The sequence below is a fragment of the Homo sapiens genome, chromosome 1 (assembly GCF_000001405.40).
Source record: "Homo sapiens chromosome 1, GRCh38.p14 Primary Assembly".
Classification (NCBI taxonomy): Eukaryota; Metazoa; Chordata; class Mammalia; order Primates; family Hominidae; genus Homo; species Homo sapiens.
In genome coordinates, this window is record NC_000001.11 from 228187696 (window position 1) to 228213710 (window position 26015).

A 26015-nucleotide genomic window follows, 5' to 3' on the forward strand; every position below is an offset into this window, starting at 1 on the left:
TCAGCCTCCCCAAGTGCTGGGATTATAGTTTCTTTATAATGTGTATATAATGATGTGTATAAATACCATATTTTTAGATATAAGCCATTTTCACTGCAGTGAGATGGTACTTTGGTATAGTTTTGATGTGCATTTTTCTGATGATCAGTGATGTTGAATATTTTTCTGTATACCTATTGGTCATTTGTATGTCTTCTTTTGAAGAATGTCTATTTGGATCTTTTGCCCATTTTTAAATCAGATTACTATATTTTTTTCCTGTTGAGTTGTTTGAGCTTCTTATATATTCTGATTATTACTCCCTTGTCTGATGGGTAGTTTGTAAATATTTTCTCCCATTCTGTGGGTTGTCTCTCCATTTTGTTTCCTTCGCTGTGCAGAAGCTTTTTAGCTTCTTGTTTGCTTTCGTTGCCTGTGCTTTTGAGATCTTACACAGGAAGCATTTGCCCACACCGATGTCCTGCAGAGTTTCTCCAATGTTTTCTTCTAGCAGTTTCATAATTTCAGTTCTTACATTTAAGTCTTTAATCCATTTCGAGTTGATTTTTGTATATGGTGAGAGATAGGGGTCTAGTTTCATTCTTCTGCATATGGATATCCAGTTTATTGAAGAGACTGTCTTTTCCCCAGTGTATGTTCTTGGCACCTTTGTCAAAGATGAGTTGGTTGTAAACGGTTGGATTTCTATCTGGGTTTTCTATTCTGTTTCAATTGGCCTATGTGTCTATTTTTATGCCAGTACCATGCTGTTTTGGTTATTATAACTCTGTAGTATAGTTTGAAGTCTGGTAATGTGATGCCTCCAGTTTTGTTCTTTTTTCTCAGGATAGCTTTGGCTATCCTCGGTCTTTAGCTGGGTCTTTTGTGGTTCTATGTAAATTTTAAGATTTTTTTTCTATTTCTGTGCAGAATGTCATTGGTATTTTGATAGGGATTGCATCAAATCTGTAAATTGTTTTGGCTAGTACTGTCATTTTAACAATATTAATTCTTCCAATCCATCATCAGGGAATATCTTCCCATTATTTGGTGTCCCCTTCAGTTTCTTTCATCAGTGTTTTATAGTTTTCCTTTTATAGATCTTTCACTTTGGTAAAATTGATTTCTAGGTATTTTATATTCTTTGTAGCTATTATTATCCATGGGATTGTTTTCTTGATTTCTTTTTCAGATTGTTTGCTATTGGCCATGATCCATTTGGAGGTAATTTTTGTATAAGGTGCAGCAAGGTTTAGGCTGAGGTTCACTTTTTCCCTTTTGTGGGTATCTAGTTGCTCTGGCACCATTTGCTGAAAGGGCTGCCCTTCTCCACTGAATTGGAGCTGCACCTTTATAGAAAGGAATCAGTCTTGCATATTTGAGGGGGCTTTTTCTGGGCTCTCTATTCTGTTCCATTGATATGTGTGTCTGTCCCTCAGTGGATGCCACACTGCCCTGTTTCTGTGGCCATGTACGGTAGGAAGACTCACCAGCAGGTACAGCAATTCCTCCCACTTCCTTTTCTTTCAAGATGGTTTTAGCTGCTGGGGGTGGTGGTGGCTCACATCTGTAACCCCAGCACTTTGGGAGGCTGAGGCAGGTAGATTGCTTGAGCCCAGGAGTTCGAGAGCAGCCTGGCCAACATAGTGAGACCCCGTCTCTACAAAAAAATACAACAAAAACAATAAAAATTAGCCTGGCATGGTGGCAAACACCTGTAGTCCCAGCTTCTTGGGAGGCTGAGGTGGGAGAATTGCTTGAGCCCGGGAGGTCAAGGCTGCAGTGAGCCGAGACTGCGCCACTACATTCTAGCCTGGGTGACAGAGTGAGACCCTGCCTCAGGAAAAACAAACAAACAAAACAAAAAACAAACAAAAAAAAGCCCCAGAAACAAAAAAATAAATAGTTTTAGCAACTGTTGTGCCTGTGCCTTTCCATATAAATTCTAGAAGTAGCTTGTCTATGCCCATGAAAACCCTTGCTGGAATTGTGATAGGAATTGAATTAAGTGTGTAGATCCTTTTGGGGAGCACTGGCTTATTCTGTGAAGTAGGTAATAGTCGTGGCTCTTCATGGCTCCCGTGTGGCCCCGGTGGAGTCCCAAGATCCATGACACAGTCTTCCTTTTCTTTTAGGCTCCGATTCTTGAAGTGCTACCAGATAGGCAGCATCCCTATGGGGTCCTTGCCAACAAAGCCCCTCTGTGACCGTATTGTGGTCTTTAGGTAAGAAAAGACTGGGGCTGTGTGGCCGTGGCTGAACTGGAGTGCCACGTGGCCTCAACAACTCTCAGGACGTCCTCTGGATCCCTGTGGCCTATGTCCTGGCCATGTGCCCCAGAGTTGGTCCTCATGCCTCATGGCCCTGCTTATTATTTCTGCATGGGGAGAGCCAACCTGTGGGGCCCAGGCGTTGTGGGCAAGATCATGGTCCCTTCCTTCACCCAGCATTCAGATCAGGGACAATAACAGGCGTGGCCATGGTCCAGCAGAGGACCAACAGTTACAGCTGGGAGAATTAATTTAATGTGAACGCTGACCTTCCTCCCCTGACCCTTCTGAGAAATCTCAGAGCAGCGTCTTCTGAACCAGCGGCTTCTCTGGTTCATTTTGCTCTGATACAACAGGATGGGCTTCCAGGGCATGAGTCCCGGACGTGAGTCCCGGGCATTTGGCTGCGTTTCTGAGGCTGTGGTCACCAGGGAGCAGCCACGTTCTCCCGACGAGTCCCTGCGAGTCTGAGCCCAGCTTTGTGGTCTCAGCTCACTCGGGGTCAGTTGAGGAGGCCTCTGGGTGGGGACGTACCAGTGCCCATGAGAACGGAGCCCTGTGTGTCTGATGGTGACCATGGGGTGGCATTGAACAGAGGCATGTCCCATGTGCCTGGCTGGAATGCAGGAGGAAGAGTTCTCAGAATTGATGAAATATGAGAAATTAGTTTAAAAAATTTTTATTTTTAAAAATTGTGGTGAAATACACATAAAAAGTACCCTTTTAAACCATGTTTAAATGTCTCATTCAGTGGTATTCAGCACATTCACGGGGTTGTGCAGCCACCACCCATCTCTAGACCTCCTTTGTTTTCCCAGCCTGAAATTGTTCCCATCAAACACCAACTCCCCATACCCTCCTCAGCCCCTGGAACCACCATTCTCTCTTCTGCCTCTGTGACTGTGACGACTCCAGGGGCCTCTTATGAGTGGAATCACATGGGATTTGTCCTTTTGTGTCTGCTGCATTTCATTCAGCATGTTGTCATAGCTCGTGTCAGCATCCCTTTCCTTTTCAAGGCTGAATACTATTCCATCGTGTGGATGGCCGGCATTGTTTTTATCCATTCATCTGTGGGTATACATGTGGGTTGTTTCCACCTTTGGTTACTGTGTATAGTGGTGCTGTAAACATGGGTGTGTTAATATCTCTTCAAGACCCTGCTTTCCATTCTTCTGGGCAAGGCTGGGCATGTTGGCTCACATGTGTAATCCCAACGCTTTGGGAGGCTGAGATGGGCGGATCACTTGAGGCCAGGAGTTTGAGACCAGCCCAGGCACCATAGTAAGACCCCACTGCTACAAAAATAGAATAAAATTCCTCTGGGTATCTATCCAGAAGTGGAATGGCTGGATTATGTGGGAGTTTTGTGTGTCATTTTTTGAGGAACCTCCATACTGTTTTTCATTATAGCTGCAGCATTTTACATTCCCAGCAGCAGTGTGCAAGCATTCCCGTTTCTCCACATCCTTGCCAACACTTGTTATTTTCTGCTTTTGGATAGTGGCCATCCTAATGGATACGAGGTAATTTCTTTTTTATTTTATTATTGTTATTTTTTTGAGCCTGGGTTTCACACTATCACCCAGGCTGGAGTGCAACCTCTGCCTCCCAGGTTCCTGCCTCAGCCTCTTGAGTATCTGGGACTACAGGCGTGTGCCACCATGCCTGGCTAATTTTTGTATTTTTAGTAGAGATGGGGTTTCACCATGTGGCCAGGCTGGTCTCAAACTTCTGAGCTCAAGCTCACCTGCCTCAGCCTCCCAAAGTGTTGGGATTACAGGCGTGAGCCACTGTGCCTGGCCTGGTACAAGGTAATTTCTCATTGTGGTTTGATTTGCATTTCTCTAGTTACTATGTTGAGCACCTTCCCATGTACTTTTTGGTTGGTTGTGTGTCTTCTCTGGAGAAGTGTTTGAGTCATTTGTCCGTTTTAAGATCAGATTGTTTGTCATTTTGTTTATCCATTCATCTGATGCCTGGGCTGCTTCCACCTCGTGTCCATTGTGAGTAGTGCTACTCACATCACCTGGGTGGACAGACAGTTCATTCCGTTTTCAAGCAGTCACTGACAGTGTCGCAACTGGCCCTCCTCACAGCGTCGCAATGTACTCGAGGCCAAACCCAACCAGCCCAGGAAGGACCCCCGGCTGGGGGCCCATAGGGTGCTGGGTCTGCAGTCTTCCACTGTGGGGCAGGGCGGGGGCACTGTTCAGAAACTGTCCTTAGTGGAGGAAAATGACGCTTTTTTCCCTGCAGTCCCCAATAAGCGTTCTGCTGCAGAGAATGGAGGGCCGCTGCGAGGGGATACCAAGTGGTGAGGGTTTGCATTCCTCCTGCAGGCACACAGCCTGCGGGCACATGGCCTGTGGACACACGGCCTGCAGCCCAGGCGCCAGGTGGACGGGTCAGCAGAGGCGTTTCTTGGATTTAATTTCCCGACTGGGAATGGGTTGAGCCCCGTCTGTCCCTCTGTGTATTGGCCACACCCGTTTCTTTCCTGTCCCAGGCCTTTCCAAGTCCCTTGTCCTTCTTGCTGATTTTGTAGGCGTTATCTGCGTATCCTTGTCAGTTCTATGTATTGCCTGTATTTTCTATCAGTGTGAGGCTTGTCTTTCTTTAATGGTGTCTTTTGGGACAGGAGTTTTTAATTCCAGTGCAGTGAACTTTTATTTATTTTTCTTAAGGTTTGTGCTTTCTGTGCCTTGCTTAAAAATTCTTTCCCCGCCCTAACCTCATGATAAGAACTTCTGTAGTTATACCTTTCTATGAATGAATGAATGAGAGGGTATCGTTCTGTCACCCAGGTTGGAGTGCAGTGGCGTGATTATGGCTCATTGTAGCCTTAAATTCTTGGCCTCAAGCAATTCTCCCACCTCAGCCACCCAAGTGGCTGGGACCACAGGCATTGCGCCACCATGCCTGGCTAATTTTTGTAGTTTTTGTAGAGACGGGGGTTCGCCATGTTGTCTAGGTTGGTCTTGAACTCCTGGGCACAAGCAATCTGCCTGCCTTGGCCTCCCAGAGAGCTGGGATTCCAGGTGTGAGCCACAGCGCCTGGCCTGGACCTTTCTTCTGTAGATTTTTAATCTACTTGGGGTTGGTGTGGATGTATGGTGTGAGGTGGGAATTAACATTTTCTGGTTGACATAACTAGCTGTCCTAACACGATTCACTGAAAGTTCGTCTTTCCCCACTGACCCAGGGTGCCACTTTGGTCAGACTCCATGCGTTCACCTGTGTGAGTTTCTTTCTAGACTTCTCATTCTGCTCCACCCTGTCTGTTTGTCTGCTTCTGTGCTGGTACCGTGATGTCTTAATTACTGTACCATAAGGATCATTCTTAGTAACTGGCATGATGCTATCACAAGCTAAGGTCTTCTTCAAATAACATTTTGACTTATCTGTGTGAATTTTCGAGTCAGCCTGTTTACACACATAGTCATGCACACACACAATAGCATTTTGATCAGCATTGCATTAAATGTGTAGGTCAAGTTGGGGAGAACTGATGTCTTTGTGTTACTGAGTTTTCAAGTCCAAAAACATTACATGTCTCTCGCTTATTTTTTTTTTTTTTTTTTTGAGACGGAGTCTCGCTCTGTCGCCCAGGCTGGAGTGCAGTGGCGGGATCTCGGCTCACTGCAAGCTCCGCCTCCCGGGTTCATGCCATTCTCCTGCCTCAGCCTCCCAAGTAGCTGGGACTACAGGCGCCCGCCACTACGCCCGGCTAATTTTTTGTATTTTTAGTAGAGACGGGGTTTCACCGTTTTAGCCGGGATGGTCTCGATCTCCTGACCTCGTGATCCGCCCGCCTCGGCCTCCCAAAGTGCTGGGATTACAGGCGTGAGCCACCGCGCCTGGCCGTCTCTCGCTTATTTATGCCTACTTTAATTCTGCAAAGTTTGTATAATTTTTCTGAAGTCCTTATATATCTTTTGTTAAATGTATTTATTTAAAATAATTTTAATACTGTGGCAAAAGGCATCCTTGCGAAATTGCATTTATCTAATTTTTTGTTACTGATGTTTAGAAATAAATTTGCTAAATTTTAATTGTTCCTAGTAATTATTTTTATATAGGTAGCTTGGGGCTTTTACTTTAGACAATCATATGATCTTAAATTAATGACAGTTTTGTTTGTTTTTGGTAATCCATAAATGTTTAGTTTTTTTCCCATTCCTTTCTCTGATGGGTCAGGTTAAACAGGGGTGCTGGTGCCTCACTTGGCTCTTGATCTTAAAGGAAAGTTCATCATTGTTTTACCACTTGGTCTGGTGGTTGTTGACATTTCTTGGTAGGTACTCTTTTTGAGGTTGAGAAAGTTCTTATAACTGGAAATCCTAGTTTGCTAAGATTTTTTTTTTTTTAAATCACAAAAGTTTGTTGAAATTTATCAGTTTTGGGGAGTATGAATTGAAATGATGATTATGTTTTTCGAGGAACTTGTCCATATCACCTGTTTTCAAATTTATTTTTATAACATTTGATACAGTTTGGATCTGTGTTCCCACTAAATCTCACATTGAAATGTAGTCCCCAGTGTTGGAGGCGGGGCCTGGTAGGGGGTGTTTGGATCATGAGGGCAAATCTCTTTAACATCTAGCTTTGATCCTCTGAACTGGAGTCCTGCATCCTTGAGATAACTCTACACTCATGATGGAGTGAGAATGACAAAGGCAAACAATACCTCAGCATCACCATGGAAACCACTGGGACCTCGGGGGTCATAAGAGGGCCCCAGGGACCCACAGGCTGCTGGGATCACACTTTTGAGAACCACTGCTCTGCTGCTCTGATCAGCTCCTTATACTTGCTGCTCGGTAAGTGTTTAAGGCTGCTCCTGTCCTCAACCCAGCTGGGACCTGTTATTTTTTAACTGGAAATGGGATGTGTATTTGTTGAATAAAATTTAACAGTACAGAAGCACATGGAGTAAGAAGCCTGTCCATTTTCCATCTTCTTGAAGGTCACCATGGTCAGCAGTCTGTGCTCACCTCCAGATGCATCTGTGCTTGCAGACATAGATGTCTCTACTCACACACTTATATCCACACACAACACTTTCAAGTAGCCCTTTTCCCAGCTTAGCTGGGGTTGCACCCTCGATGTTCTGCAGCTTGCCTTTCCATGCTGGGTACAGGTGTCATGATGGTGAATTTTACGTGTCAGCTTCACTGGGCCACGGGATGCCCAAACATTTAGTCAGACATCATTTCTGGTGTATCTGTGAGGATGTTTTTGGAAGAAATTAGCATTTGAGTCAGTGACTGAGTAAAGCAGATTGCTTTTCCAAAGATGGGTGGGCCTTGTCCGATCAGTTGAAAACCTGAATAGAACAGAAAGGCTGAGTAAGAGGGAACTCCTCCTGCCCAAATGTTTTGAGGTGGGACGTTGGTCTTTTCCTGCCTTTGGACACAAACTGAGACATTGGCTCTTCCTGGATCTTGAGCCTGCTGAGTTTCAGGCTAGAATGGTACTGTGGGCTCCCTGGGTCTTCAGCCTGCTGACCGCAGATTTTAGGACTTCTCAGCCTCCATAGTCGTGTGAGCCAGTTCCTTATAATCACTCAGTCTGTTGGTCTGTCATCTATCTATCAATATCTGTCAGTCATCCATCTCCATCCATGTATCCAATCTATCTAGATCCATCTATCAATCTTCTGTACCTACCTGTCAATCATCTATTTATCTTATCTATCCATCCATCCATCCATCTCATGTATCATGTATCTTACTGGTTCATACAGAACCAATGAGAGACACTTATATCCATCTCCTGTTGTTTCTGTTTCTCTGGAGAATCCGGAGTAATACAGGTGTCATCCCCCATCAGTGCATGAGGGTCCACTGCATTTTTTCCTGTGATTGCCCCCACCTTTGACAGACCTGTCCTGTGATTCATTTGATTCTTCCCTTGGTGATTGAGTTTGTTGCCAGTTTTTTTTTTTTTTTTGCCACCATCAGCTGTCTTGAATATTCTGTTTTTAAAAACCTTATTTTGTAGAGACAGAGTCTCCCCATGTTGCCCAGGGTGGTCTGGACCTCCTGGCCTTATGCAGTCCTCCTGCCTCAGACTCCCAAAGTGCTGGGATTACAGGCATGAGCCACTGTGCCTGGCCTTGAATATTCTTGCATCTGTATCGTAATGCATGGGTAAGAATTTCTGTAAGTCACCTGTGTAACAGACATCTTTTTCAACATTTGTTTTTGGTGTCTTTTGTTGGATAGTCATTTTACATTTTAATGTAATTAAATTTATTTTTTTCCTTATTTGGGATATGTGTTTTTTTGGTGTGTCTTGTTGAAGAAATACTTGCTTGAAAATGTTCTCAATTGTATCCTAAAAGAGTTTGTTTTGCTTTTTTTTCCAGTTGAGTTTTAAAATTCATCTCAGCTTAATTTTAAAAAATTCCATCCCCTACTCCCCCTGCAGACCCTGGCAACCATCAGTCTACTTCCTGTTTTTATGGATTTACATTTTCTGGATATTTCATATAAATGGAAGCATACAGTATATAGCCTTTTGTGTCTGGCTTCTTTCACTGAGCATAATGTTTTCAAGGTTCATCCATTTTGTAGCATGGATCAATACTTCATTCCCATCTGTGGCTTACTAATATTCCATTGCATGAATATACCATATCTTGTTTATCCATTTGTCTGTTGATAGACATTTGGGTTGTTTTCATCTTTTGACTATTGTAAATCATGCTGCTGTGGACAAGCAAGCATGTATAAATTTTTGTGTGGACATATGTTTCAATTCTCTTGGGTATTTATCAAGCAGTAGAAGTGATGGATTATATGGCAACTCCACGTTTAATCAGCTTGAGTTTCGTGTATGGCATTGTATTTATTTCCTATATCTGTTGTAATAAATAACCACAAATTGAATGGCTTAAAAAAATAGACTTTACTCTTCCATAGAGGTCTGAAATCAAGGGGTGGGCAGGGTCATGGTCCCTTCAGAGGTTCCAGGGGACGATCCTTCGTTGCCTCTTCCAACTCTCAGTGGCTCCAGGTGCCCCTGGGCTTGTGGCCACATCCCTCCAGTCTCTGCCTCTGTCTTCACATGGCCACTCTCTTCCTGTCTGTCTCTATATCATCTCATCTCTGTGTATGTCTGTCTCTGTGACTAAATTTCTCCTTCTTATGAGGACACCAGTGGTTGGATTAGAGCCCACCCTGAGGACAGCATCTTAACTTCATTGTATCTGCATAGCCCCTGTCCCTCAGTAAGGTCCCATCCACAGATTCTGGGAATGAGGAGTTCAACATATCTTTTTGGGAGGACACCACTCAACCCATGATAAGTGTGAAGTAGTACTCCAGTTTTCTTTCTTTTTAGAAGAAATAAAAGATATCTTGTTATCCAGAACATTTTTCTCACTCCTCCACAGGGTCACCTTGGTATCTAAATGTGTGAGGGCCTGTTTCCAGGCTCTCTTTACTTTCGTTGGCCTGTTTTTCTAACCCCGAGTGACTGTCTTAATTACTACAGCTTCCTGAGTAGGTTCTTAGCACATTCAAGAGTCAATGCTTAGAGAGTAGAGACTGTTTCTTGCTGGGACTGTTTTCTCTGCACACTGTCCTTAATGGCCTGTTCTCTTGACTCTTCTAGATGTGCTAGCCCTGGCGCTGGCTATTGAAGAGCTAGCAGTGGCCACATGGAAGCCCTGGACAGCTTAGTGGTGTGCTCTACAAATGACTCTGTCCAGGGCATCTCCCAACACAGCAGTGGGACAAGAAGACAATGACGGGATGTTGCATGAACTGACCCTCAGAACCCAATGTCCAGGAGAACATGAACTGGGATCTTGAAGTTCTTCAGAAAGATCAGAGTGAGCGGTGGCCCTGAGTCACTCTGTAGCAGTCATGGCAGTGAGAAGAGCCACTCTCTAATCATAATGGAATTGCAAGATTGCCAAATTAAGTCACCCAGTTAATTGTGGCCCTTAATTTTACTCTAGGAATCTGTGCTGTCCTAATCTTAGCATTTCCAGGGAGACATGGCAGCTGTTGGGGGCAGGAGGAATCACCGTGTTCCATGTGACCACCAGGCTCTACAGGCTCTAATTTTAAATTATGACAGGGAGGGAGAAGGCTGAGAACCATGCTGCTGACACTGAGACAAGGGTTCCCAGAGGTTCATTTTCCCTGGACATGGCAAAAAGACTTTGCATAGCCTTTTCAAAGATTTGGCAAATACTATGGGCCAATTTTTTTTTTTTTTTTTTGAGATGGAGTCTCGCTCTGTCGCCCAGGCTGGAGTGCAGTGGCGCGATGGGCCAATTTTTATATGCATTTTCTGGCATTTATTTCAGTGGATGCAGGATAGATTATTAAAATTCCTGCACTTTACATTTTTAAAAATCCTTTTTTTTTTTTTTTTTTTTTTTGGAGACAGAGTCTCACTGTGTCGCCTAGGCTGGAGTGCAGTGGCACGATCTTGGCTCTCTGCAAGCTTTGCCTTCTGGGTTCACACCATTCTCCTGCCTCAGCCTCCCTGGTAGCTGGGACTACAGGTGCCCGCCACCACGCCCAGCTAATTTTTTGTATTTTTAGTAGAGACGGAGTTCCACTGTGTTAGCCAGGATGGTCTCGATCTCCCGACCTCATGATCTGCCCACCTTGGCCTCCCAAAGTGCTGGGATTACAGGCGCAAGCCGCCATGCCCGGCCTAAAAATTCTTACACAGGCTTTGCTTCATGAAACCCTTTATCAAACTGTTTGGTCATTTTTTGATTTTCACCTGAGTTGATAATTGCAACTGAATTCATCTTGAACATTGAGAAAACAGTAAGGACCCATGAGAGAATTTTTAAAAGTCAACCAACAATATCCCAGTCCTCACCAGCAGGTGGTTTAAAGCATCTTTCAGAATTTGAAATCAGTTTTAATGATGGTCACTAACATGAATCATGTTAACATAATTTTAAGCATGTTGTACTTAATGTTCTGATTGAGATTTTTTAAAGTTTCTGTTTTAATTGCTGTTTTGGTGAGAAGAAATGATTCAGGAGGTCTGTGCTTTGTTACCTGTACCCACATGGTGCTCAAGGTTGGGTGAGGGAAAGATGAGCAGTTAAACACACAAAAGTAGGAATTCCAGATCATCAGAGTCATTTAATTTTGTTTTGGACAAGAAACGTTTACATGCTGAATCACTCTGCCTTGTTGTTTTTTTTTTTATCCCATTGTCTCCTGGTATCCATTGTTTCCAATGAGAAATCAGCTGTTAATCTCAGTGGGCTGCCCTTGTATGTGAGGAGCTGGTTTTCTCATGTGTATGTTGGTGTGCCTAATGGTGTCCCACATTTCTTTAAGGCTCTGTTCATTTTCTTCATTCTCTCTGTTTTTTAGATTGCAGAATCTCTATCAATCTATCCTTAAGTTCTGACTCTTTTTTTTTTCCCTGCCAGTTAAAAACCTACCATTGAGCTTCTCTATTGAGTGTTTTATTTCATACATTGTACTTTTCAACTTCAGAATTTCCATTTGGTTGTTTTTATAATTTCTGTTTCTTTATTCTGTATTTGATGAGACATCATCATCGTACCTCCCTTTGCTTCTTTAAGTGTGGTTTCCCTAAGTTCTCTGAACATATTTATAATAGCTGCTTTGAAGCCTTTGCAAAGTCCAACATCTGGATCCTCTCACAGTTTATGTTGTCTGTTCTCCCTCTCCCTCCAGTATAGGTCATACTTTCCTGTTCTTTACATGCCTCGTAATTTTAATTTTTGTTGAAAACTGGATATTTCAGGCAATATATTCTATCAACTCTGGATTCTGATTCAATTCCTCCCTCTCTTGGATTTCTTTTTCAATTGTTTGCTTATGTATTTGTTTAGTGATACATATAACTGGGTATTTATCCAAAGGAAAGGAAATTAGTATATCAAAGGGCTTCCTGCACCCCCATGTTTATTGCAGCAGTATTCATAATAGCCAAGATGTAGAACCAACCTAAGTGCCTAGCAGTACCTGAATGGATAAAGAACATGTGGCATATATACACAATGGAATATAATTCAGCCATCAAAAAGAATGAAATCATGTCATTTGCAGTAACACGGATGGAACTGGAGGTTATTATGTTGAGTGAATAAACCAGGCATGGGGGTCATTTTGACCCAGTCTTTGAGGTTTGTTTTGACCCAGGACATTCTTCTTAGCTGTGTCCTGCTGAAGTTCCTCTGGTGAACTAGCTGGCCTGAGGTTGAGCTTGTTGGTCTTAAGTAAGAGGAACAGTTGTTTTCAAGAGCACCCTTAGGGTTGAACTTCCTTTCCCATGTGCTATTTCAAATAAAGTCAGTTCCTATGGGGAGCGCTTTAGAACTTTCTCTCCTTGTGAACTTCTTTTCCCCTTTGGCAAATCTTGGAGTCAGTTTTCTGGGCAGTGGCAGCCTGTGGTCTTCTTGGATTGCATCAAAGACCCAGATATACATGTCCTATGATTCCACAGACCCTGAACTGTTCCAGTAACCCAGCTGTGGAGTATCTGACTGGGAGCTCCGTGACAAGGCTTGGTGGTGTGCAGACTTGGTTTCCAGTAAGATTCTGCAACTATTTTTCTAAAGACACACACATACCTGTTTGAGCGGGAGCCAGGCATGGCTGACCTCCCCACAGAAGGGATAGGGCTGGGTGTCACTAAAGGCCAGGCCCTCTGCTCATGATGCTTTCACACCATCTTAGGAGTGAAGCTGATGGGCATCTCAGATTTGGCTTTCTCTGGCACAGGTAGGATTTAAAAATGAGGCATAGACTTTTCCTATGCATGTGTGACATGCTAGACATATGGCCTTTAAGACCACATTCAGGTCCGGGTGTGATGGCTCATGCCTGTAATCCCAGCACTTTGGGAGGCTGAGGTAGGCAGATCATGAGGTCAGGAGTTTGAGACCAGCCTGGCCAATATGGTGAAACCCCATCTCTACTGAAAATACAAAAATTAGCCAGGTGTGGGTAGCATGCTCCTGTAGTCCCAGATACTCAGGAGGCTGAGGCAGAAGAATTGCTTGAATCCAGGAGGTGAAGGTTGCAGTGAGCCTAGATTGCACCACTGCACTCCAGCCTGGGCGACAGAGCGAGACTCCATCTCAAAAATGAAACAAAACAAAACAAAAACCAAACCAAACAAACAAAAAACACATTCAGAAACCATCAGGGAGATTAAAAGAGGCACAAATACATCAAAACCAAGGTAATTACTGACCCTGTCTGCTGAGGCAACATACAGTGGCATTGTGAAGAAATGCGCTCACTGCAGCAGAAAGCCACTTCCTTACAGAGTCCCATCCTTGGGGATGGGTTTCCCAGCGCTCCTGCACTCAGGTCTCACGTGTCTGTCCCCAGATCTGCTCTTTTCATTCATGATGCAAACTCTGCAGGGTTCTTACCACAGGCTCGCCTTTGCAAAGACAACGTGATTTTCCTTCTAAAGCTCAGCCAGAGCTACCCCTGTGCTTCAGAGGAACTGGTCCCAGCCTTGTGATCAGTGGGCACCGAGTCCTGGCATGCCGAGCCCTTGCCGTGTTGTGATTGGTTGTCTCAGTGGCTAGCTCTTCACTTTCCCCCATTCTTCTTATTGTGTTAAAATACAGAGAACACAACATTTACCATTTTGACCATTTTAAGTGTCCAGTTCAGTGGCATTAAGCGCATTCATGTGGTTGTGCAGCCATCACCATCACCCATCTCCAGAGCTTCTTCATGTTCCAAACCTGACAATCTGTCCCCATGACACACCAATCCCCTTACCCCGACCCGAGCCCTTGAACCCCCATTCTACCCTCTGTCTCCATGTGTATGAATCCTCTGGGGACCTCACAGGAGTGGAATCAGTCTTTGTCTTTCTGTGCCTGGCTTATTTACTCAGCATAATGTCCTCAAGAATTATCTCTATTGTAGATGTTACAAATGTCCTGCTTTTAAAAGCTGAATTAAAAATAAACTGAAGGCCCGGTGCGGTGGCTCCCACCTGTAATCCCAGCACTTTGGGAGGCCGAGGTGGGTGGATCACCTGAGGTCAGCAGTTCGAGACCAGCCTGACCAACATGGTGAAACCCTGTCTCTACTAAAATACAAAATTAGCTGGGTGTGGTGGTGCATGCCTATAATTCCAACTACTCGGGAGGCCGAGGCAGGAGAATCGGTTGAACCTGGGAGGTGGAGGTTGCAGTGAGCTGAGATTGCGCCATTGCACTCTAGCCTGGGCAACAAGAGCGAAACTCCGTCTCAATAAATAAATAAATAAATAAATAAAATAAACTGAATAGCCGTCCTTTGTGTGTATCCACCACCTTTTGTTCATCCACTCATCTGTTGATGGACACTTGGGTTGCTTCCAGCTCTTGGCTGTTGGGAATAGTGCTGCAATAAATATGGGTGGGCCGGCTGCGGTGGCTCACATCTGTAACCTTGGTGCTTTGGGAGGCTGCAGCAGGAGGATCACTTGAGCCCAGGAGGTCAAGACCAGCCTGGGCAACATAGTGAGACCCTATCTCTATTAAAAAATGTTTTAAAATTAAAAATAAAATGGGTGTACTAATATCTTTTCGAGACCCTGCTTTCAGTTCTTTTGGGTGCATACTGATAGATGGAATTGCTGGGTCACATGGGGATTCTACATTTAATTTTTTAGGAACCATCATACTGTTTTCCACAGCGGCTGTGCACCAACTCTTTATTTTAATAAACCTTCTACCATGTAGAAGTGAAATAAATGATCGTATTTAGTAATTATCATTTTTTTCTCTACAATTTACCTTATCTAAAAAGGTAGGATTTTCCATTTTATTTCCCATTTTTGATGTGACTTTGCCTAATTTTGTAATAGATGATTTTAAAAATATGTTTTGTCACCATAGAATAGAATTTTTTTTTCTTTTTCTTTTTTTTTTTTTTTTTGCAGCACAAACAGAAAAACCAAGAGCTTCTACCCCTTGGTCTTGAAATAGAAACAAAATGAACAAACCCATTTCAAATTAGGAGAACAAGAGAATTGAAATAAGAGATCTTTTCCTCCATAATAGCATTTCTTGTTGTCAGACCAGCTTTACAAAGTAGCCTAACATGTGATCTAAAGAGGAACGTGCTGAGGTAGGCCCAGGAGAAAAATCCCAGGAAGACAAAGGCCCTGTTATTTTTATGGTGCAATTTAATACACATGAATAACTTTGAAAATTAGGTGTTTTTCAAAACAGCTTTAGTCTGTTTCTAATATATAAGGAAAATAACTTTCTTTTGTTTTATGCTACCTAAGTGTGTGGTGTCTATCCAATATGTTACTAGGGTACATGTTCACTGTAGCTATTCATGATAGCCAAGATATGGAATCAACTTGAATGTCCAAGAAAACATGGTACATATACACAATGGAGTATTATTCAGCCATCAAAAGAATGAGATCCTGTCATTAGCAGCAACGTGGATGGAACTAGAGGCCATTATGTTAAGTGAAATAAGCCAGGCACAGAAAGGGAAATATTGCATGTTGTCATTTGTATGTGGGAGCTAATTTGCACTATGTAGACATATATCAAAGCATCACATTGTACACTTTAAATATGTACAATTTTTATTTGTTATGCATCAATAAAGCTGGGATTGGGGATGCGATGGTATAAAAACTAACTCTCCTCTCTACTTGTGCAAGTGCAAGATTCTCATCTGGACAGTTGTCTTCAGACTTTTTTGTGTCCTCCTCAAGAATGTTTAGCCTCTTACAGTTAAAAAAAAAAAAAAAGCTAAATTCGAGACTATGTTTGGGTTTCACCAGTTCTTACTCATGTTGATTTCACGGAGGTAGAGAACTGAATGATGGTTACCAGAGGCTGGGGAGGGAAGCGGGAAGGGAGATGAAGAGGGGCTGGTTAATGGGTAGAGACACACAGTCAGAGAAAATGAATCAGTTCTAGTGTTTAGTAGCATGGTAGAGTGACTGTAGGTAACAATAATTCATCATATATAGTTGACCCTTGAACAACATAGGTTTGCACCACTGAGTCCACTTATACGCAGATTTTCTGGAACCAAATGGGAAGGGAACCAGCAGTGTTCTCAGGATGTCAAACCTGTGTGTATAGGGAGGGCCGGCTTGTCCTATGCTTGGGTTCCACAGGGCTGACCGTAGAACTTGAGTATGCACAGATTTTGGTATATGCGGGGGTCCAGGAACCAGCTTCCCATGTATGCTTCAAAATAGCTAGAAGAGAAGATTTGGAGTGTGAAGAAATGATCAGTGTTTGAGGGAATGGTGTCATAAACCCTGACTTGATCATTACACATTGTATGCAGGCATCAGGACATCATATGTGCCCTGTAAATATGTACAGTTATATATCAATAACAAGTAAGTAAAATTAAAACAATAACTTACTGGGGTAGCAGTCAGATTTACTTGCTCCAAATAGATTTTACTTTGCTTCTGATATGCTACTAGAGAAAGTTTACTTTGAAGTAGTGTATTTGTAAGCAACCCAGCTGCAATGAAAGGAGGTATTTCCATTAAAATATGACAGCATGACTTACAGAAGCCTTTAATTATAATTTACCATTTCTGGCCAGGCACAGTAGCTCATGCCTGTAACACCATCACTTTGGGAGGCTGAGGCGGGATGATTACTTGAGCCCGGGAGTTCAAGACCAGCCTGGGAAACAGGGAGACCCCTGTCTCTTAAAAAAAGAAAATCAAAAAATGAGCCAGGCATGGTGGCTCACACCTGTGGTTCTAGCTACTGAGGAGGCTGAGGAAGGAGGATGATGAGCCTGCGCAGTTTAAACTGCGCCACTTCACTCCAGCCTGGGTGATAAGATTATGTCTCAAAACAAAACAAAAAGGCCACATCACATTGTACACTTTAAATATAAACAATTTTTGCTTGTCAATTATAACTCAATAAAGCTGGGGCAGGTAGGGGACACGGCAGTACAGTAAAAATCCCTCACCTATCTGCTTGCACAAATGCAAGCAGATTTCCATCTGGGCAGCTTTTTTCAAACTTTTGGCAGTTGCATCCTCACAACTGCCTTATTACTTAATTACATAATATTTAACCCCTTATGCTTAAAAAAAAAACCCACGAAACTACAGACTTCATCAGTCTTTGCACTAATGTCCTCTTGTTGAGGAAGAATCTCCTTCAGGGTGGGACGATGCACTTAGCAGTCACATCTCTGTGGCCACAAAGGCTGCTTCTCATTTATACCGGGAGAAACGTTGCCAGCACAGCTGCTGTGCAGGCTTAAGCAAATTGTTTTCACCCTGTGAGCCTCAGGCCTCTCTTCTATAAGATGAGAAAACACCCTTGTTTGGGAATATCTAATAAGATACTGACATGAAAAGGCCTTATGAACGCAAAAGCGTGACACACCTGTGTGTTCTCTCGGTGCTGCTGGGATGTGCGTTTGCTGAATGTGTGTCATCTACAAGCTGGTCAAGGATGGAAAATGCCTTCCCTCCTAACATTCAGAAGGGAATGAAAACCCTCTTTCCTCCTGGAATACAGAGGAGGAAAGAACTTCATCTTTACACCCAAGCCAAGGCACCAGAGATTCTTGACATGTTCAGATACGACTTGGGGATCATAAAATGTTCAGGAAACCCTGCAGGACTGACTTACAGTTTTTTTTGCCTATAGTTTGTGGGCACCCGGGGCCCAGCCACCCCATCGCCTGGGCAGCAGGTGCAGGTCTGAGGCCTCCGGGCCCACCATCCCCCAGGCCTTGGGAGATGGCTGTGAGAACACCCCCTTCAGTTAAACTGCACCCAGGATGCCAGCCCACCCAGCTGTGAAAGCCCCTGGGAGGAGGGCTCATGGCGGGACATCCCTGTGGAAGCTGGCAACTCAAGGGACACAGTGACATTTGCTTTCCTCAGGAAATTGTGTCTGCTCCTCCTCCACCTGTACCCCTTTGAACAGACAGCAGCTCCATGAAAGTTCTCTTTGCAGTGGATTCCAGCCAGGAATAGGCAAGGTCCATGGCCAGCCACTGCATCCTGTGGCCTCCCGTGGTGTGAAGGACACCCTGGGCACAGTGCCTCCGGAAGCTCTGTAGTGTGAATATCCCACTGTCTTCAACAAATACGTTGCAGGGAAATAAGGAACAACAGGGGTCCTGTGAAGGAGGCAGAAAATCCAGCCTGAAGGCTGGCAGTGGTGTTTGGAGATGCAGCGGAGCAGGCAGCAGTGAAGAGGGTCAGGAGGGCAGGCCACTCCTGGAGGCTGTGGGGGCATTGCTTCTCCCAGGTCCAGGAGGCCCTGCAAGGGGCTGGCCCGCACAGCCATCTTCTCTGCACCCTCCACGGCCCTGTCCGGGAGGGGGTGGGGCACGTATTCGAGCACACACAATGCACACACACTTCTGCATGGCTGGGGCAGCTCAGGGCCAAGCTCCTGGTGGGGGAGTGGGCTCTCCTTCCAGCCTTTCCTTTCTCCCTGGTGCTGTGGACTGAATGTGTGTCCCGGAGATTCACACGTTGAAATGCTCACCCCCAAGGTGACAGGATTAGAACGTGAGCTTTTGGAAGTGATCAGTCATGAGATAAGGCTGCAGAATGGCATAACCGTTACTCCAGAGACCCCTCACCCTCCTTCTGATTGAGGACACATGAGAGATGTTGGCCATTGCCCGGAAGAGCCTGAGGTACGCTGTGAGGACACATAGAGGCCTGGCACTGGATCAGGGATGGGGCGAAGCCTGGAGGCACAGAGCAGATTCTGAGCACCCCCATCTTCCCCACCCTCCCTCCTGCCACAGCCTGAGCTGTCCTCCTGGGCCCAGCTCCAGATCCTGCCCGGCCGGCCCCTTCTTTGGCTCCCTGGTGCTGGTAGCTGGGGCCCTGTTGGCAGCACACCGCAGGATAAATGCCCCCAGGTGCGGGGTGCAGGGTCCCGCCTCACATGCCGTCCTGGCTCCCTCCTCCCTCCATGGAGGCCTCTGTGGGTAGAGACTCGGCTCCTCCTCTGGACCTGGGCCCTCCATGGAAAGGCACAGGGCTCCCACTGGGTGGCCCTCTCTGGCTGCTCTTCCCCCGTTGGGGCCTGCCCAGTGCCCGGTCCACACTTCTTCCTGGCCAGGGCCGTGGGGACAGGGCCAGCCCCTCTTGGGTATGAAGCAGGGTGCCATCAGCATCCCCTCCCCAGGGCTGGTCCCTCCCCCCGGTCAGGCTGGGTTCTCACAGGACACTCCTGTGCTCCCATGTAAGGATGACTCTGAGACCCAGCTGAGTGTTCCAGGAGAGCCCCCGGGTGGGCAGTGGCCTGGGCCTGGCCAAGCAGGGTGCACCAGGCTCCTGCCCCCATCCCTCCACCGCTGGCCCTCAGGTGGGTCCTGGGTCCCCTCTGGGGGCAGTACTGGGGCTGCCTCAAGATCCATCCTGGGCTCCTCTTGGGGTGGTCCCTTGTCTCCCTCAGAGCCTTCCTGGGTCCCCCAGGCTCCTTCCTGCCCCACATGCCAGGATGCTGGTTTGAAGGGGAGAGTAGGCCAGCTACGGCCCCTGGCCCGCATCACTGCTAAGGACATGGGGTCCCCCCATCCCTGGCTGTGGTCCCCAGCCCGCATCACTGCTAAGGACAAGGGTCTCTCGGTCCCTGGCTGTGGGCCCTGGCCTGCATCACTGCTGAGAACACAGGCAACCCTGGCCTCCATCACTGCTGAGGACACAGGGTCCCCCCGTCCCTGGCTGTGGCCCCCGGCCTGCATCACTGCTGAGGACACAGGTGTTCCCTGTCCCTGGCCATGGCCCCCGACCTTCATCACTGCTGAGGACACAGGTGTCTGTTCCCCATCCCTGGCCGTTGCCCCCTGGCTGGCATCACTGCTGAGGACACAGGGTCCCCCATCCCTGGCTGTGACCCCTGGCCTCCATCATTGCTAAGGACACAGGCATTTGTCCCCCTCTCCCTTGCTGTGGCCCCAAGCATCTGCCCTTTGCCTCCCACAGGGCCGAGGGTGAAACTGAATCCGGGACAGTGACACCCGGGCTATTTTGGGGCTGGGCTGGGCCGGCCTGGCCGGCACAGGGGGTGGGGTGGGGGCGGGCCCAGGCTTCTCCAGCTGACAGTGTCCGCCTGTCCTTTTGTCCCCGTCCAGTTTGAGGAGCGGCCGGAGTGTGGGCTGCTGGTAGGCAGCCTGCTGGTCCTGGGCCCTCGGAGGGAGGTGAGACCCGGCAGCCCCTGCCTCCCAGCCTGTGCCCCCAGCCTGCGTGCTGCCCAGAGCCCCCATAGAGAGAGGTGAGGAGACAGAGCCGGGCAGGGTGGGGGCTGTTCTGTGCCCTGGAGGGTGGCTCCACTAAAGGTCATGTCTGGGGAGTGGGGAAGCCTTCAGGGTCTGGCCACAGTGCAGCTCCCTGTGGCGGGGCTGGGGTTCCAGCCTCTGCTCCCTCTGAGCCCCGGAGCTGGGCTGCTCACATGGGGATGGAGCCACTAGGCTGGCCTGGGGCTGCGGGGTAGCCGGGGCGGTGCCCTGCACCCACCGTCCCCTCTACCCCGGAGTTGACCCTTGCTCAGAGAGCGGCCTGGGGGTCTGGCTGGCCCTGCCCCCAGCACTGCTGAGATAGATGCCCGCTGACAGCTGGGGCTATTTTAGGCCTGTTGGCTCAGCAGAGGGGACAGCCAGAGGGGCGCTGACACCTGACTCCAGGAAAAAATTTCCCCAGAACGCTTGAAGCCTCCGGTGGGGTCTAAGGTGAAGCACAGCCCTGGGGCGCTGCCCTTGGAACTTCATGCTGGAAGGGCACGGGAGCACAGGCTGCCCAGGTTGTCTGTCAGTGTAGGGGTGGGGAGGGCCAGCGAGGTGGCACCCTGGGAGCTGCCTCCCACTCTGGACTCTTCCCTGTGATGGTCCCGGGCCCCTGGAAGACCAGAGTGGCAAAGTTCTGCAACAGTCAGGGTGGAGGGGCTGCTGAGGGGTGGGCGGCTGTGGGTGGGGCCTGTCACCCGGGGCATGGTTTGGTGGGGGGGGGGGGAGCGTCCCACAGCGTTGGAATGAGGCCTCAAGGGGCTGAGGAGCCCAAGTGTGGTCCATGGTGGGTAAAAGGCTTTCCTGGGAGGCTGAAGTCTCCCCCTCCTGGGGAAGCTCGTGGGGTGCCCAGACCCAAAACGTGGCAGAGAAAAAAGACAGCCTCTGCAGATGTCCCAGTGCCCGATGGATTCCTGGGAGCCCCACGGGTGACCGTGGTGGCCCCCTTCCTGCTCGGCCTGTTTCTTCATCTGTGATACGGGTTGTCAGGGAGGAGGATGACTCCTGAACCCTCAAGTGTCTTTGCTTGGTGAGCCCCTCTCTGGCCCTAGGCCTGCTGACCGGTGGGGACGCCTCCTGATGGGGCTGCCATGAGCCCCCCAGACCCTGCAGTCGGCCTCCTGGGCCTGCACCAGGCGACAGAATGCAGGGCTATAGTGCCGTCCCTGGCAGCTGATGAGGACCTCAGTCTCTACCCGCTCTTCCCAGGCCAAGGTCAGCCTGTGCACCTCTGTCCCTTCAGCACAGGCAGTAACGGGAGCTCCCTGACCTGTCCCGGTCCTCTAGGCCCAGAGAGGCTACCCACACATGCTGCCTCATCTGTTCCACTGTGACCCTGGCAGGGCCAGCTGGGGATCTGGGTGTGGCAGAGGTTGGGGGAGAGGATGCCCCGTTCTGCTTTTGGGGAACCCACAGACCTGCTATATGATTTTTTTTTTTTAAGAGACTGGGCCTTGCTCTGTTGCCCAGGCTGGAGGGCAGTGGCATACTCACAGCTCACTGCAGCTTTGACCTCCTGGGCTCAAGCCATCCTCCTGCTTCAGTCTCTTGAGTAGCTGGGACAGCAGGCACCTGCCACCATGTCGAGTTAATTTGTTTTAATTGTTTTTGTAGAGATGGGGGTCTCACATGTTGCCCAGGCTGGCCTCGAACTCCTGGGCTCAAGGGATCCTCCCACCTCTGCCTCCCACAGTGCTGGGATTACATGTGCTTGCCACCACACCTGGCCTGACTGTATGACTTTGGAGAGTGCTGGGGACAGCCCAGAGCTCATGGGCCCTGCAGAGTTGATGTCAAAGTAGCCCTTTTGAGTCCTGGGAGGAGCCCATAGAGGCAAATTCCCAGAAAGGGTGAAACTCGGACCCCGGTCCCTGCTGTGGGCAGGCCCCTGCCCAGGTCCTCCCCAGCCCCAGAGCCCTGCTGTGGGTGGGGAGGCTGGGCTGCAGCATAGGTGCTGCCTGCACAGTGAGTCAGCAGACTGGTGCCCGCTGCGCAGTCCAGCCCTGCTCCAGCCTCAGACTGCCCAAGGGGATTAAGGGGGATTAACTACCTGAATCACAGGACCAGGAGGAGGGCCTGGGAACGTTGCCCTGGCTCAGCCCACAGTGGGCAGCCCAGGCCCAGAAGCTGGTGGCTCTGGCCTGAGAGAGAGTACAGGCGAGGTGCCCTGGCGGGGGCCTCTCCACCATGGGGTGGTTGTGCCTGCCAGGGCTGGAGGGAGTTAAGGCGCCCCGGGCCAGCCCAGTGCCAGTGGGGCCCACTCACACCCGCTGTTCCTACAGAAGAGCTGCATAGGCACGGTAGTGTCAACCCACACCATCTATATGGGGGGATCTGTACTGGGGCGGCTGGCCTGCTGGGCTCCGCCTGGGGTGGTCAAAGGACAGCATCACCTGGGGCCTTTGGCACTGGTGTCCACCCTCAGCCCTGCAGCATGTCCAGCTGGCCAGTGTGGCTGAGAACTGTGGGGTGACCAAGTTGGGCCTGGCTGACCCAGCCCAGCTGGTCTCAGCCTGGAGGTCTCTAGCCCTTCCAGGGGGATGTTACTGGCCTTGCCAGCTCCAGACTCTGGGGTCCCCCAGCTATGCTCCCAAGCCAGATCCCTGACTGTGCCCTGCCCTTGCATCCCAATCCCACCCTGGGGCTCAGTGGGGGGGCCTGGGAGCAAGCAGCTAAGTGGTTTCCAGTCCTTCCCGCTCATGGATAAAGAGCATGCCCCTGGGGAGGAGGGAGGTGTGTGACCCTGCAGAAGAGGTGAGGCCCCTCTGCAACAAGGGCAGCTTCAGGCCGGACTGGCCCCTCAGTGCAACCTGGAGGGGCTGCTGAAGGAGAGCTGCGTAGGGGTCGGGGGGAAGAGGAGGGAGTAAGGGCTTTGCCCAGGGCGGAGGGTGCATCTCACCTAGAAGAGGCTCAAAGGGGAGCCTGCCAGGGTGGAGAACCGGTGACCTCCTTGTGCGATAGGCAGAGGAGACGGGCATGAGACCGGTGCCCATGGTGGGCCTCCTGCACCCAGGCCTGCCGGGGCTCAGCGAGCCTCCCCTTCTTGATGTGGGGGACACACAGGCCAGCTGAAGTTTTAGGCCCGAGAGGCAGCAGTGTGTGCGGTAGGAGAAAGGATACCACCCCGCAGGTAGGGAGTGGCCTACAGTGCACCAGGCAGGTCTGCCTGCCTCAGGAAGGTGCAGCAAAGCTTGTAGGCTGGGAGGAACCAAAAATAGCGGGCACTGCGAGGGAGGGGGCCCTGCCTGGTTGCTAGGGGGTGTAGGTTTGGGACATGTGCTCCAGTAACTGCAGCTGAGGCAGTGGGTCCCTGTAGGTAGGGAGAGGGAAGGAGATGTTCTCAGCGGCTAGAAGAGCCGTTTGCAGGTGAGGTTACCAAACCCCAAATGCCCAGAAAGGGGCAAGTCTGCACTTCTGGGTCACGGTGCCAACCGGTGATGCTTCCTCAGGGCGCGGGGAGTGGGGGGGAAATAGGATGTGTGGAGGTGTTGAACTGGGTTCCTCAGGCGGCACGGTGGGGTGCACCCGGGCCTCATTCCAATCCCCACTAAGGCCATCCCCACCTACTTGCAGGTCCCCGCCGCCACCCTCATGGATCAGCCACAGTTCAGCGGGGCGCCCCGCTTTCTCACCCGGCCCAAGGCCTTCGTGGTGTCGGTGGGCAAGGACGCCACCCTCAGCTGCCAGATCGTGGGTAATCCCACGCCACAGGTGAGCTGGGAGAAGGACCAGCAGCCGGTGGCGGCCGGCGCGCGCTTCCGTCTGGCCCAGGACGGCGACCTCTACCGCCTCACTATCCTGGACCTGGCGCTGGGCGACAGTGGGCAATACGTGTGCCGCGCGCGCAATGCCATAGGCGAGGCCTTCGCTGCTGTGGGCCTGCAGGTGGACGCGGAGGCCGCGTGCGCCGAGCAGGCGCCGCACTTCCTGCTGCGGCCCACGTCCATCCGCGTGCGCGAGGGCTCAGAGGCCACCTTCCGCTGCCGCGTGGGTGGCTCCCCGAGGCCGGCAGTGAGCTGGTCCAAGGACGGGCGGCGCCTGGGTGAGCCCGACGGCCCCCGCGTGCGCGTGGAGGAGCTCGGCGAGGCAAGTGCGCTGCGCATTCGGGCGGCGCGGCCGCGCGACGGCGGCACTTACGAGGTCCGCGCCGAGAACCCGCTGGGCGCTGCCAGCGCCGCCGCGGCGCTAGTGGTGGACTCGGACGCCGCGGACACGGCCAGCCGGCCCGGGACCTCCACGGCCGCGCTCCTGGCGCACCTGCAGCGGCGGCGCGAGGCTATGCGCGCCGAGGGCGCCCCCGCCTCACCGCCCAGCACCGGCACGCGCACCTGCACGGTGACTGAAGGCAAGCACGCGCGCCTCAGCTGCTACGTGACCGGCGAGCCCAAGCCCGAGACGGTGTGGAAGAAGGACGGCCAGCTGGTGACCGAGGGCCGGCGCCACGTGGTGTACGAGGACGCGCAGGAGAACTTCGTGCTCAAGATCCTCTTCTGCAAGCAGTCGGACCGCGGCCTCTACACCTGCACGGCGTCCAACCTCGTGGGCCAGACCTACAGCTCTGTGCTGGTCGTAGTGCGCGGTGAGCTCCTGGGTGCGGGGCGCGCGGGCCCAGGCTCCTCCGCAACCCGTGCACCTGGGTCCTTTCGCCCTTGCGGTCTGCCGTTTCCCACCCGCGTCTGTCCGGTCGTGGAATCCAGGGTTGCAGGTGTCCGTTCCTGGTGCGCAAAATGCGGGCGACGCCCCACGACCTATTCTAAACACCCGCAACCCGCTTTCCCCACCCAGTCCCCTGCCCGCCCCGCCCCCTTTGCATGCCGCGCCCCCAACCCGCCACCGCTGGCCCACAGACAGGGGCGAGAGGTGTGAGAGGGGCGGGGCCGCAGGGGATCCCACCTCCTCAGCCCCGCCCTCTCCCTCCCGCTGCTCCCAACCCAACCTCCACCACTCTGCCTTCTGCTCTTCTACTCCCCCGCCCCCCAACTTCCTGTCTCCTCCCCTGCGCCCTTCCCAACCCTTAGCCCCTCTGCCTCCTGCTCGCTCCTCTCCCCAGCCCACTCCTCTACCCTGCACCCTCTCCTTTCCAGCCTCCCAGCCCCTCTGCTCCTGTCCCCTATTCCTTCCCACACCCTCACCTCTGCATCCTCCAGTCTCCTTTCCCGCCCACAATCCCCCAATTTCCCCCTTCCCACCCCGCCGTCGTCCTGCACCCTCCGGCCCCGCCCCTCTCACCAGTCTTCTCTCCTGGCAGAGCCCGCGGTTCCCTTCAAAAAGCGGCTGCAAGATCTGGAGGTGCGGGAGAAGGAGTCGGCCACGTTCCTATGTGAGGTGCCCCAGCCGTCCACTGAGGCCGCGTGGTTCAAGGAGGAGACGCGGTTGTGGGCGAGCGCCAAGTACGGCATCGAGGAGGAGGGCACCGAGCGCCGCCTGACCGTGCGCAATGTCTCGGCCGACGACGACGCGGTGTACATCTGCGAGACGCCAGAGGGCAGCCGCACGGTGGCGGAGCTCGCAGTCCAAG

At 50.0% G+C, this 26015-nt stretch overlaps 1 protein-coding gene and 2 long non-coding RNA genes across 7 annotated transcripts in view, besides 1 other annotated feature; 2 read left to right on the forward strand and 1 right to left on the reverse strand.

Annotated features, from left to right (window-relative positions):
* LOC124904536 (uncharacterized) lies at positions 1-15885 on the forward strand. The gene is made up of 2 exons (XR_007066917.1): positions 1-7072; positions 9873-15885. It is a non-coding gene; the product is annotated as an uncharacterized LOC124904536 (long non-coding RNA).
* Positions 5490-5990: an enhancer, noted in NCBI's record as "H3K4me1 hESC enhancer chr1:228380886-228381386 (GRCh37/hg19 assembly coordinates)". NCBI's record gives its function as "activates a minimal SCP1, AML or CMV promoter by ChIP-STARR-seq in primed H9 embryonic stem cells {active_cell/tissue: H9 hESC(primed)}" and the evidence as "EXISTENCE:reporter gene assay evidence [ECO:0000049][PMID:30033119]".
* On the reverse strand, positions 15811-25969 carry OBSCN-AS1 (OBSCN antisense RNA 1). Of its 2 annotated transcripts, NR_073154.1 has the most exons (4): positions 25727-25969; positions 24826-25212; positions 21992-22069; positions 16780-18955 (listed from the first exon to the last, which is right to left on the reverse strand). It is a non-coding gene; the product is annotated as an OBSCN antisense RNA 1 (long non-coding RNA). The 2 variants fall into 2 exon arrangements; NR_073155.1 differs by lacking the exons at positions 16780-18955; positions 21992-22069; positions 24826-25212 and adding an exon at positions 15811-16460 and having other exon boundaries at positions 25727-25960.
* Positions 20349-26015, forward strand: part of OBSCN (obscurin, cytoskeletal calmodulin and titin-interacting RhoGEF) — a 170833-nt gene continuing 165166 nt past the window's right edge. For 3 of the 4 annotated variants that reach the window (NM_001386125.1, NM_001271223.3, NM_052843.4), the window contains exons 1-3: positions 20349-20490; positions 24071-25076; positions 25746-26015. In NM_001386125.1, coding sequence (NP_001373054.1) covers positions 24089-25076; positions 25746-26015 — 1258 coding nt within the window. In that variant the 5' untranslated portion in view covers positions 20349-20490; positions 24071-24088. The remainder of the gene's footprint in view (positions 20491-24070; positions 25077-25745) is intronic. The other variant, NM_001098623.2, reaches the window with a different exon arrangement.